Source organism: Homo sapiens, chromosome 10, assembly GCF_000001405.40.
Source record: "Homo sapiens chromosome 10, GRCh38.p14 Primary Assembly".
Lineage (NCBI taxonomy): Eukaryota > Metazoa > Chordata > Mammalia > Primates > Hominidae > Homo > Homo sapiens.
This window is the reverse complement of record NC_000010.11, coordinates 91,411,668-91,424,264: the sequence shown is the minus strand read 5'-3', so window position 1 is coordinate 91,424,264 and position 12,597 is coordinate 91,411,668. Positions and strand designations below refer to the sequence as shown.

General features: G+C 36.5%; 1 protein-coding gene and 1 long non-coding RNA gene across 15 annotated transcripts in view; one reads left to right on the top strand and one right to left on the bottom strand.

Annotated features, from left to right (window-relative positions):
* HECTD2-AS1 (HECTD2 antisense RNA 1) overlaps nucleotides 1-12,597 on the top strand; it is a 304,499-nt gene that overhangs the window by 187,196 nt on the left and 104,706 nt on the right. The window lies entirely within an intron of this gene.
* HECTD2 (HECT domain E3 ubiquitin protein ligase 2) overlaps nucleotides 1-12,597 on the bottom strand; it is a 105,586-nt gene that overhangs the window by 90,556 nt on the left and 2,433 nt on the right. The gene's annotated exons all lie outside the window — the stretch shown is intronic.

The following is a 12,597-nucleotide window of genomic DNA, read 5'->3' as shown; positions in this document are numbered from 1 at the left end:
TCTGATTCATTCTAACAGGCCACAAGTGGAAAAGACGTCTGTCATTTCTGAGTCAGAAAGTACCAATGCATTTAAGACTGGGGCAAAACTCTAGCTCTTCTCTCTTTTCCTCGACTGTGGCAACCATCCAGGCTGAGTTGACATGTTAGAGCATCTGTTAGCTTGGGTTCTTGAGTGACTATGTGAAACAGAGCCAATCCTGACCAATGTTAGACTATATCATTAGCAATAATAAACCTTAATAGTTTTCAAACACTGAAACTTGGGGCTAATTTGTAACTGCAGAATAGCCTATCATAACTTGTTTCTGAAGCTTTTTCCAGTGTTCACCATTTCTATAAAACCAATCATTCTTATTTATTCTTCTAATTTATTTACATTGTTCCACTAAAATTATAATCATTCTAATGTTGGCCCTTCATGCTGGACTAGAAGTTCATCACAGAGCTTGTCATACAGTGAATCTTGTGCATAGGTGCTACACTTTAAATTTACTTTTTAAAGAAATTAATATAAAAGAGCCCAAAGAGAATAAATTTCAGACACTATACACATAGAATTAAGAAGTCTCTAGAATTAATAGACTTTTAGAAATTAGTTAACTCCTTCATTTCACAGAAAGGAAAGTGGAACTGTCTGAGACTCACCTAAAGTGACCTAACAAGCAATGGAGATGTAATGGACACTACATGGGAACCTGAGGGACACTTCCATGAGTAAAGTAAAAACACATATGCATTTTTTTGGTGTGACATTTTTGCCTGTTCATAGATTTTATTGTAATTTGTTTTTGCTTGGTCCTTGATTCTTGGCCAGATTTCAGCTCAGTAATGTCTGGGTTAATATTTCTGTGTTAGGAAACAAGTCATTTGTTGAGTACTTGTTATACACCTACTACTACAGTACCTACTTTAATACATTATAACATTCCTATATGTATTTACACCCCATTTTATAGATGGGGAAATTGAATTTCCATGCCCATGTTCACAGAGCTGATAAATGGGAAGCCAGGATTCAAACTCCAGTTTGAATGACCATGAAATCTGTATTCTTAACACTTATATTACAGTCTCCCACTATAGCAGCTGTCACTAATTAAGGGCTTAACATGTGACAGTACGTGTGTTGAACACATCAGCCTATTTTCACAACAACCCTTTGTGGCTGATGTAATCTCTACTTTTATAGATGTATGTTGAGTTAAATTTAATCGCTTTAGGAGCAATTCACCTAACCAGAGAATATTACATAAGCAGAACAACTAAGTGTACTTTAGGGAAACTTCTCATGTCCTAAACCATCTAGGAAAGACTAACATTTTCTTTTCTTCCCCCTTCCTTCACCTCTTCTTAATAAAAGAAGTCTCAAAGAATATTGCTTAGTTCACTTGTGGGATCTCCAAACAATAAAAATTAAGAATTCAATTAACAGTTATTCAACAACTATCAGTTCTAATGTCTAGTGGATTTACAGTCTCAAAGATAAGAGAGAAAATTGAAAAGAGAGGTAAGACAGTGATACACAATACCTTTCCATAAAATAGTCAGTAAATTATGTAATTTGCATAATATTGGTAAATTAAAGCAGTTTGTTCAGGTACACAAAACTAGTGTGTTGATTAGGAAAATGAAATATAAACAGGTTACATATTTGAAAAAGTAAATCATTCCTTATTATATGTATTAGGATGCTTAAATAAGAATTTTATTAATGACTGGGGCTAAGTTTGCTTACTTGTATATTTTGTTGTCAGAAAATCTTAATAATAGTGCGAACAAATGCCAAATTGGACACACAAATTTGACAGTTATAAGAAAGTAACCAATTTGTAAAATAAGGTTAGCCGTGCTTGTATAATAAATGGTCCCTCAGCAACAGACCTTTGTTAACTTAGCTGTAAACATCTACAATAATTTAACACATAGAAGGCATTTTTTCATTGACAACTGTCATGAATGTTATCTAAGACTAAGCAACAGTAGTATTTAGGGAGCAGTGTAGTTGGAATATAGAATCAGAAAGGGAGAATGGTCCAGCAAGATATGACTGGGAAGGTAGGTAGTGGCCATATTATGAGGCCTTCAGGCTACAGAGTATAGATTCTATCCTGAACAGAGATAGAGAAAAATCATTGAGGACTTCTAAGCAAGATATGACATGATCATATCTGTATTTTAGAAAAAAATCACTATGGTAGCAGTCTAGGGAATAGAATAAAGGGCAGAAATACTGGAAGCTAAACCAGGCCTACTGGAAGAAATGAAATTTGAATAGAGATAGTAATAATAGGGAATGAAGAGGAATGACAGCCTGGGCCAAGAAATGACCAAATTGTTAACAGCGATTTCAGGTGTAAGTCTGAAGCATAATGAAAATGAACAAACCCTCCCATAAATTATAAAGTAAGTGAAATAAACAATGTAAAATGCTTTCTTCAAATTTCAGAAGAATAGGCATATTTTGACACCTCACTGTATAGAAGAGGGCATCTTTGAAGAAAATTCTAGACTGGGTTTTATCAACATGATTTGTGAGTAACTACTAAAGGAACCAATGCTCACTAGGCAAAAGTATGCTTCGCATGATGAAATAATGAATTTTTATAACAGGGTTATTGTAATATATCAACAGAAAACCTATAACGAGCTTGTCCAACCCACAGCCCCCAGGGTGCATGCAGCCCAGGATGGCTTTGAATGCGGCCCAACACAAATTCATAAACTTTCTTAAAACATTATAAATTTTTTTTGTGATTTTTTCTTTTTAGCTCATCAGCCATAGTTTGTGTTAGTGTATTTTATGTGTGACACAAGACAATTCTTCCAATGTGGCCCAGGGAAGCCAAAAGATTGGACACAACTGATAATATAAGGACAGAACTGTGGGAAATATTGGCATGTATGATGTGAGCTGGCAAAGGAGATTAAGAATGAATGACCAAAGAAATCCAGAAGAAAGTGATGTGTTAAAAATATGGGAGGATAAAGTTTCAAGAAAAAAAAAAGGTCAATAATGTTAAATAATGAAGAGTGGTTAGGTCTAAAATGTGCCTAACGGAAATGGGCAACTATGAATCTTGAGGACAGCTGAGGTAACAGATTTAGGGTAATGGTGGTGGCACGGACTATACAAAATAAATTGACAAATGAATGGGAAGTTAGAAAATGAAAGCAATGAGCAAGGATGACTCAGAAGCTTTACTGAAGGGGAAAAAAGCCTGAGGGGGGGAAGAATGCAAAGGTTTGAGGGAAGATCTACTATGCACATTACCATGGCTGCCATCTAATGTTCCCTTATATTTAAATTGCCCCACTCATGGTCCCCATAGCATTGCTGTTATTCTTTGTGCAGGAATGGCTGTGGACTAGAGCTGAGGTAGGCACTCAACTAAGGGGCAACCCATCTGCAATTAGGGTAGCCATGTATTAGCTGGCTTGGCATGATGGACATTGATGCTTCCTAGTATGTCAATCAGAAGTCTTTCCAGATTTTAGACAGGGGAATATAGAAAAGACTGACTAGCTAAAAGAGAATAGCAGAGGCACAAAAAACAGCCAGTCTCTGTTCCTTTGCTTTCTGCTTCCAATCTATGTGCCTCATTCCAATAAATTCTCTTTTGCCAAAAGGAGGCATAGTAGACTGATTTTCTTTTTTTCTTTTTTTTTTTTTCTTTTGAGATATAGTCTTGCTCTGTCGCCCAGGCTGGAGTGCAGTGGCACGATCTCGGCTCACTGCAACCTCTGCCTCCTGGTTCTACTGATTCTCCTGCCTCAGCCTCCTGAGTAGCTGGGATTATAGGCACATGCCACCATGCCCAGCTTTTTTTTTTTTTGTATTCTTAGTAGAGATGGGGTTTCACCATGTTGATCAGGCTGGTCTTGAATTCCTGACCTCATGATCTACCTGCCTCGGCCTCCCAAAGTGCTGGGATTACAAATGTGAGCCACTGCACCCAGCCTGATTTTCTTTTTTTTTTTTTTTGTAATCATAAAAGCTTAAACAACATAGAAAAAAATTCCTTGGTCTAATAAGTCTCTTGTTTGTAAAATAATTGTGCTCTTGACACGTTATACTTGAGATGACATGAAATTAATCAGACATTTTCACACATTGATAGAATAATAAAAGTCAATCCTCAAAACACTGGTTGCCCCACATCAGCTCATACAAGAGAAATCTTACAACCTAAGACTTTCATGAGAAAAAAAACGGGCATCATTTTGTGCAATGGCAAAATGATTAATATTAGAGAATCAAATCAAGAAGTTACTGGGTATTTAATACGACACCAAACTCCAGACTAAATTAAACGTTAAAGAACATTACTTTACAAACCTTCTGAAATTTGGACCACAGCTATTACTGAGTTTTGTATACGTTATCTATGAGTCCTACAGGAGAACACTAAAGATGATGGCCTGGAATGTGGCCAGCCTACAAACAGTGGGCTGGGGGTGTTGAGGAATAGTAGTGGGATACTCAACCAGCTGTTCCAGATTGAAGATAAGTACAAATAGAGAACACAGGGAAAAACACTAAGAATTCTTTGAGGGAAAGAAATACTCAAAATATTTCAACCTTTAAATAATAGATATGTATTTATTTCAACCTAATAAATAATAGACCTGACTCTCTAGGCAGAGGCTGACCATACATTTATTAAACTCGAATTCAATAAACGTTGCAAACAGCAGAAAAACGTAGTAATTACAATAACTAACCAAAAATCTTATTTCACAAGTACCTAATGTGGGCTTCAATGGTCTTTTTGATGATATAATCACATAGATTATATGTAAGATTATAATATAAAATAATCTCAAGATATTTAAACAGACAAACACTTAGAGTACCTGTTCTGCTATTAACATATAGTTAAATATTTTCAACCTTATTTTAAATTTTATTTGAATACATGAGTTCCTACTTTCAACCTCTATTGAGGAACAGACTGAATCTTAAATTTCCAATTTCTTCGTCATATTTTTCTACCAATGCCAATAAGAATAACAACCATGGTTTTCCATCATCGCTTCTGAATTGACTAACAAGTGGTACTATATTCAAAATTCTGGTAAAATTTACTTTGATCATCCTCTATACTCCAAAAGTTGCCTTACAAGATCAACATTTTTCTTCACATTCTAACCCAATCCTTGAAAAAAGGAGTAAGTGCTGGCTGTTCCATCACGAAATGCTTTAAAAGCCGTATCTCACTATCTTAGAGTTTCTGAATTAAAATATTTTAAATTGAACGTCTATGTCTATAAAATTCACCCTTTAGTCTCAATGAGTCCAAGAATCTGTGATGCATATAAAAACTACTTTTTCAAAAGAATGAGTAGCTTCCTGAGATACTGAGCAAAGGTTATTATGACAAAAGACTGATAAATAAACATATATTTATAGGTTTCAAGTTAAAATAGAAAACATTTAAGATACCCTACTTTACCAATTTTTAATAAACTGACCTAAACTACCAATCAGAGCCATCCTGGAGCCAACGATATAATTTACAGTCTACAAAGAGACTATTTTAGGCCTTGATCCTGGGTAAAGATATTTTGTTTCTCTTTTTGTATGGTTTTTTTTCACAGTTCCCTATTAGGATGGTGGGTTACAAAATCATGAAATGCTGACTTTGTTCTACATCCTTCTACTAAGATATGAAAAGTCAGCTACTTTCAAGGTACAAACTTCCCTCCCAACCTAAATAGCACCAGCCCAAGTGGAATTGGTTTAAGTTATATAAATCATATCTTTAAATGGAGACTAGGAAATAAGGATGTGGATTCTGAAACAAAATTTTGTCACAAAAAAAAATCAACGCAATTGATCATATAGATGACTGAAAATTAGCCCTACAAACATTAGTCCTGAAGCTCAGAAATTTCAGTTCATTTATCACTAGGAAGGCAAGGTGGCATTAGAGATTTTATTCATTTATTTTATAATATAGGAAAAGATAAAAATACATGAATACATTATGGTTATACAGTAAAATACTACTTTTAAAATATGCAATTTGATCCAGTCAAAATTCTCAATCAATTAAGAGTCTTGTTCTTTTTTTTTAACAAAAACATCTAGAACAAAACCAAGTTAATTTGAAATACATTAAGCAGACTCAAATTTCAGACTGACTTTTTCAATTCAGCTGAATTGGTAAAATCTCAATAATTTCTATTTTTAAAAGGCACATTCATTGGCGATCATTAAAAAGTCAGGAAACAACAGGTGCTGGAGAGGATGTGGAGAAATAGGAACACTTTTACACTGTTGGTGGGACTGTAAACTAGTTCAACCATTGTGGAAGTCAGTGTGGTGATTCCTCAGGGATCTAGAACTAGAAATGCCATTTGACCCAGCCATCCCATTACTGGGTATATACCCAAAGGATTATAAAACATGCTGCTATAAAGACACATGCACACGTATGTTTATTGCGGCACTATTCACAATAGCAAAGACTTGGAACCAACCCAAATGTCCAACAATGATAGACTGGATTAAGAAAATGTGGCACATATACACCATGGAATACTATGCAGCCATAAAAAATGATGAGTTCATGTCCTTTGTAGGGACATGGATGAAGCTGGAAACCATCATTCTCAGCAAACTATCACAAGGACAAAAAACCAAACACCGCATGTTCTCACTCGTAGGTGGGAACTGAACAATGAGAACACATGGACACAGGAAAGGGAACATCACACACCCGGGCCTGTTGTGGGGGGGCGGGGAGGGATAGCATTAGGAGGTATACCTAATATTAAATGATGAGTTAAAGGGTGCAGCACACCAACATGGCACATGTATACATATGTAACAGAACTGCACGTTGTGCACATGTACCCTAAAACTTAAAGTGTAATAAAAAAAAAGAAAAAAGTAAATGAATAAATGCAGTCTCTAAAGCAAAAAAAAAGGGCACATTCATTTCATTATTTCAAAAAATGTTTTTTGATGGCTCACTAGAATGTCACACAGATATCCTCCAAGTTACAAATATCAACTTAAGAGTAAGTAGTTATTCATATAGCTCACCAGTATAACATTTTACCACTCAAGAAGGGATTCTTCACTCAGAGTTAACTACAAAACTATAAAAAAAGGAGAAAAAATAGGGAAATCAAAGCTTCTCAGAGCTTTCTCATCTCCACCTACTTCCTCATTCATCTTCTGTTGATCTTTCTCTACTCTTCTTCAACTTTAACTAAAAATAGTTAATTTCCAAACACTATGCCAAAAGAAGTTGCTACTCTGGCAATAGTATCTGTACACCTTTTGAAGGCTCTTTCTTTTCCCTTTCAAAAGAAATTAATATGAACTGAGACATATACCAGCCCCAAAGAGTTCAGAGAGTGCATGACATCCCTTAATTCTGGGGAGTGGTGGGGTGGTGGGAAGGATAATAACTCGGAGGTGAGGGGGACGGTGGAGGTTTATAAAGGCAAAGGCAATACATACAGGGCCTGAGGCTTGATATAGAAGGCTGTTAAGGAAAGTACCAAATCCACAGGACAGGAGTAGAGGAGAAAGGGCTGGCTGGCTTACAAACAGCTTTTCAGCTACAGATGTTGCTTTATAAACACAATCATGTGTCACTTAACAATGAGGATATTTTCTGAGAAATGCTTCATTAGGCAACTTTGTAGCTGTGCAAACATCACAGAGTGTACTTATACAAATCTAGATAGTACAGCTTACTACACACCTAGGTTATATGATATAGCCTATTGCTCACATGATACACACACCTATAGAGCATGTTACCATGCTGAATACTGTAGACAACTGTAACACTAAGTATGCATCTAAACATATCTAAACAGAAAAGGCATTAGACTGCCTTCAGATTATGTGATCTGTCATTGACTAGAACATTGTTATGTGACACACGACTTTAATAATCTCATCTAACACTGAGTGCTTTGTACAAGGTTTTTTTCTAAATGTTTTATGTGTGTTAATTTAGACTTCATTTCTACCTTATGCAGTAGGTTCAATTATTATTTTTGCCATTTTATAGATGGAGAGTTATAAACAGCAAAGCAGAATCGTACTTGACTTTTTTGGAGGTTCTCTGGCTCACAATTTATAATGACCGCTTTTCTCCAATTGTTAAATATAGTTATAAATTATTTGTGTCCTAATGGGTTATTCATGAAGGGGAAAATAAGCAAGCACTACATTATGGCTTTGTGGTTTAAAAAAAAAAGTTGACAAAGAGACTTTACGGCTTTGTGGTTTAAAAAAAAAGTTGACAAAGAGACTTTACAACCCACTCAAACTTAGAGACATGCTGGGTATGTATTTATAAAGCCATAGCCCTCCCTTTTTATGTATTAAGTCTCTTGGACTATTTTGCTTCAATCAGATTGATTTTACATATAATTTAATGATCTATTCATACCATAAAAAAGCAAATAGATATCCTAGAACATATCTTTCCCATGATTGTTCTATCTCTAGTAACAAATATCTGAACAAATTTGTTACTGGACAACATGCTCTTTTTCAAACTAGAAATACTGCCATAGGTGCAGCTTCTTTGTACCACATGGTCCCTATTACCTATGACCGCAAATGTCGAGTGTTCAGAATTGGGCAAAGAACATGAGTCGGAAACATCTCTGTTATAAAGCAACCACTGTCCCTGACTAGCCATTTTACTCCTTAGCAAGGTACACATAACCTGACTCTCAGATTCTTTTTCTGTGAAGTGGAAAAATATCTTCCTCACAGGGTTGTTGTGATTGCTTTTGGTTGCATTATTTAACTAAATAAAAGAATACATGGCAAATGCTTAGCACAGAGTAGGCACTCAATAAGTAGCTATTATTGTTATAAACACTTATTTTGTATATTTGTAATATCTGTAGTTTATTCAATTACTTAAACATCATCACCATAGCATTCATTCTTTCCCATCTCACCTCTTGTTTAGAACATAATGAACAAAGAGCACAACATTTTTCATACAAGATTGTTCCAAATACCTAGCTGGGCATATTGTTGTTAAGTACACACACACACACACACACACACACACACACACACACTTTCTCTAATTTGGAATGCTATTGACCTCATCTGGAAACCTGAGTCCTTTTCCTTTATTAATCTTTCTTCTCTTTCATTTCTGCTGTCTAGTTAGGTCCCACATGGTGTGTATGCTCCCATCCCTTACACTCTGTCCTGTGGCCACCACCTTAGTGGATGCACTCATTGCCTCAGGCATGAGCTACAAAGCTCTTTTCTTCACTTTCTCCCTCCTCTAGTTTAACTATACACTACCACTGATTTCATTATGTTGTTCCTCTGTTTCAGAAATTGCAATAGCTTCCCACTAACCGCAGGGGGAAAAAAAAACTGTCTAAGCTTTTCTGCCTAGTGATCTGGCTCCAGCCCCCATGCAATCTTTCTCACCTCCCACAAGTTCCCAGCATGCTTCCACTGGGCTCGCTTTATTACTCACTAATTTTTCCTTTTAAGCCTTGCTCATGCTGTTTTCGTCACTGGATTACTTTGCCCACTTTCTTCTGCCTATCCAAATCCTATCATTTTTCAATGGCCAGCCAGCTTAAATAATTACCTTTACTTCAAGGCCTTTCTTCACAGTTCTGCACACAGTGATCTCCTTTCTCTCATCTCTGATAGTACAAATTGTTTCTATGGCTCATTGTGGTTTTTACATATTGCTTTGCTTTTCATGTGTTAACCCTGCATACCCTGAGGCAGAGACCATTTTTTAAAACCTTGTCTTTTTGCATTTTTTGTAGCACCTAGCACAAAGCTAAACATAACAGATGTTCAATAATTGGTAGTTACATTTTGTCCCAGGGACTCCATCAACCCCATTTATACACAACTGATAAGCCAACTTCTCATTCTTGTTACTAAACTTTCCATCAAATTCTCTCGACACACCTTATGCTCACCCTCAAACTCTTCCCCTTGTCTTCCATTATAGGCTAACATCCCTTTAAAATTCTCAACTAAATTCCTCCCATTTCTCTTCACCTCTCTGACCTAAGTCAAATCTAGCTCTTTCTTGAACCCAATGTACTGGTACCCTATCCAGAGGGTTCTACCCCATGTAGAACCTCTCTTTTCTGTTCACCTGATTAGGTGTAGAAGTAGCCAGTCAAATTCATCCTCGCTGCCACTGTTATTTCTGCCCCACCTCTAAGCATTTTCTTCTTTCTCATTCACCACTTTTTTAAACATGTGTAATACATCAGTAACTAATTTATAATATTCCACTCCAATCCATCAACCTCAGTAAATTTAATATTCACATCATCAGCCCTTCATATCCATACATTACTTCAAATTCTTTATTCTGTTTGACTCCATGGATTTGCATCACCTCTCCACAGCAGCAAGGCCAAGACCCAAACACTGAAAGTCTCTGAGGGCTCCATCTTGAGCCTCTTGAGAATCTCTAACTGGAACCACTGCCACTGCCATTTCTTTCAATTCCCCACCACGCCTGATTTCTACTGTCTCTTGTTCACTTCATCCATACCTGTCACAAGTCCATTTCAAACGCTGCTCCACAAACTAAGTAGATTTGGGAGATGGTAATTAAAAAATACAGATTCCTACACCTTGCCCATGGAGCTTTTGATTCAGTATATAGAGTGTCAAGTTTCAATCTTGGTATACCCAGGGAATTAAATTTAAAAAAGATGCCTGAGCAACATCCCCAGAAATTCTGATTTAACAATACTGCATTTGGGCCTGGATAATGATGGCTTTAAAAGTTTCTCAGTTAATTCTACTGTGCATCTAAGGTTGAAAACAGGTGCTCTAGGGTGAGATGTAGGAATGAGGACTTTAATATGCTACCAAGGTAACTCTGTGGTCAGTCAGGCTTGAAACCACTGTGTTAGGCACCTCCTCACTAGCTGGAATGGACTTCCTTCACGTTTAGATGGTCTTAGGATAAAACACTTCAGGGCTGCCCTTTCCAGCATTCTTTCTCCCACCCCTGTACCTTTCTGTAAACATAAAGGATACAGCCTAACTCTTCAACCTTATTTAGGGTCACTGTAAACTGACCTTCTACTTATTGATAATATTTATATTATTTTATTCATATATATTCATTTATAAATGTGGTACAATGATTTTCTGAAAAAGCCACTATTGTAGGGTCACGAATTGAGTCATAGACACAAACTAGACAGGCAGAACCATTAGGCTGGGGCAAAAAGGAACAATCACTGGAATGTCTCAAAGAAAAAGTTATTGATGACAATTAGGTTCCTAAGCAAACCTCTAGGAGCTCTATTTAATCTACAGGAGGCTGAAAAACAACTCAAGAGGCCACAAGCTGTATTTCCCTGCCCACCTACCTCACACATCAAGACCTCCTCCCCCTCCCCACACATACCAAGGCCTTCCTAGCTGCTGTAAAAGTCAATCACCACCCCAGTTCTCCTGGATTTCTTATCCTTTGGATGGACTAAGGACCAAGCATAGATTTTCTACACTTAAGCTTTTCACTGCTATTAGCTCTGAATTCTAGCTTTGAAGTCTCTCTTTGACAAATACACACACACACACACACACACACACATTCTGCCACAGATCCTGTCATAAATTGTTTTTTTTTTTAAAAAATAAATAATCAATGGTACTGACTCTGAAAGACTTTATAAGGCACAAGCAAGGCTGAGGCAGGAGAATGGCTTGAACACGAGAGGCAGAGATTGCAGTGAGCCGAGATCAGGCTACTGCACTTCAGCCTGGCGACAGAGCAAGACTCCGTCTCAAAAAGAAAAAAAAAAAACCCTCAAGTTTTGTATATTTATCCTTATCCTCTTCTATTCCAACTCATACCTTTTCAAAGTTTAATTCAAGATTTAAATTTTTTTCTTGAATATATTCTTCTCTTTGTCTAGTAGTACAAGTCCATAATCCTCTATTTACAATTTCAAAGTCCTATAAATTCTTGAAACTGAAGTGTCTTTGCAACTCATTTGGTGGCAAAAACATGCACCTAATCTGAAATGACATGACGCTACTGACTTTTTCCCTTTAGCATGAACACATAATTTCATTACAGTTATTAAGATGGTTGATTAGAGAGAACTGGCTAGGACCTTACTGTGGGTATTAAATAATATATGATATATGTACCGAATTACCTTTCTAAAATCTGAAAAACTTGAAATCCCAAAGCAGACTGTAGACTTGTATCCACACTTGCAAATTCCAAAACGGCAATTTTTCAGTTATGAGATGAATAGGTTTTTGGGAGAGCGTTTGCTTGAGGACCTAAACCCACTCATTTAACTGTTTCTATAAGTACATACATTTACTGTTTTAAACAACCAACTTAGAAATGAACTGCTGGAATTCTGTGAGTTAAAGACTTCCTATATAAAATCTGAAAACCTAGGGTACCAGCAGCAGGAACCAGGTCTCCAAGCAGCTGGGTGACAAATTCCTTCAAAGCATTTTCTAGGGTAATCCCTAACCCCAGCTCCAATCTACCAATCAATTGTAGCTACGCTTTTAAACGTGTATCATTACTGTTCGCAATTTGCTGCATTGATTTAAAGAGCTTGTTTTAAC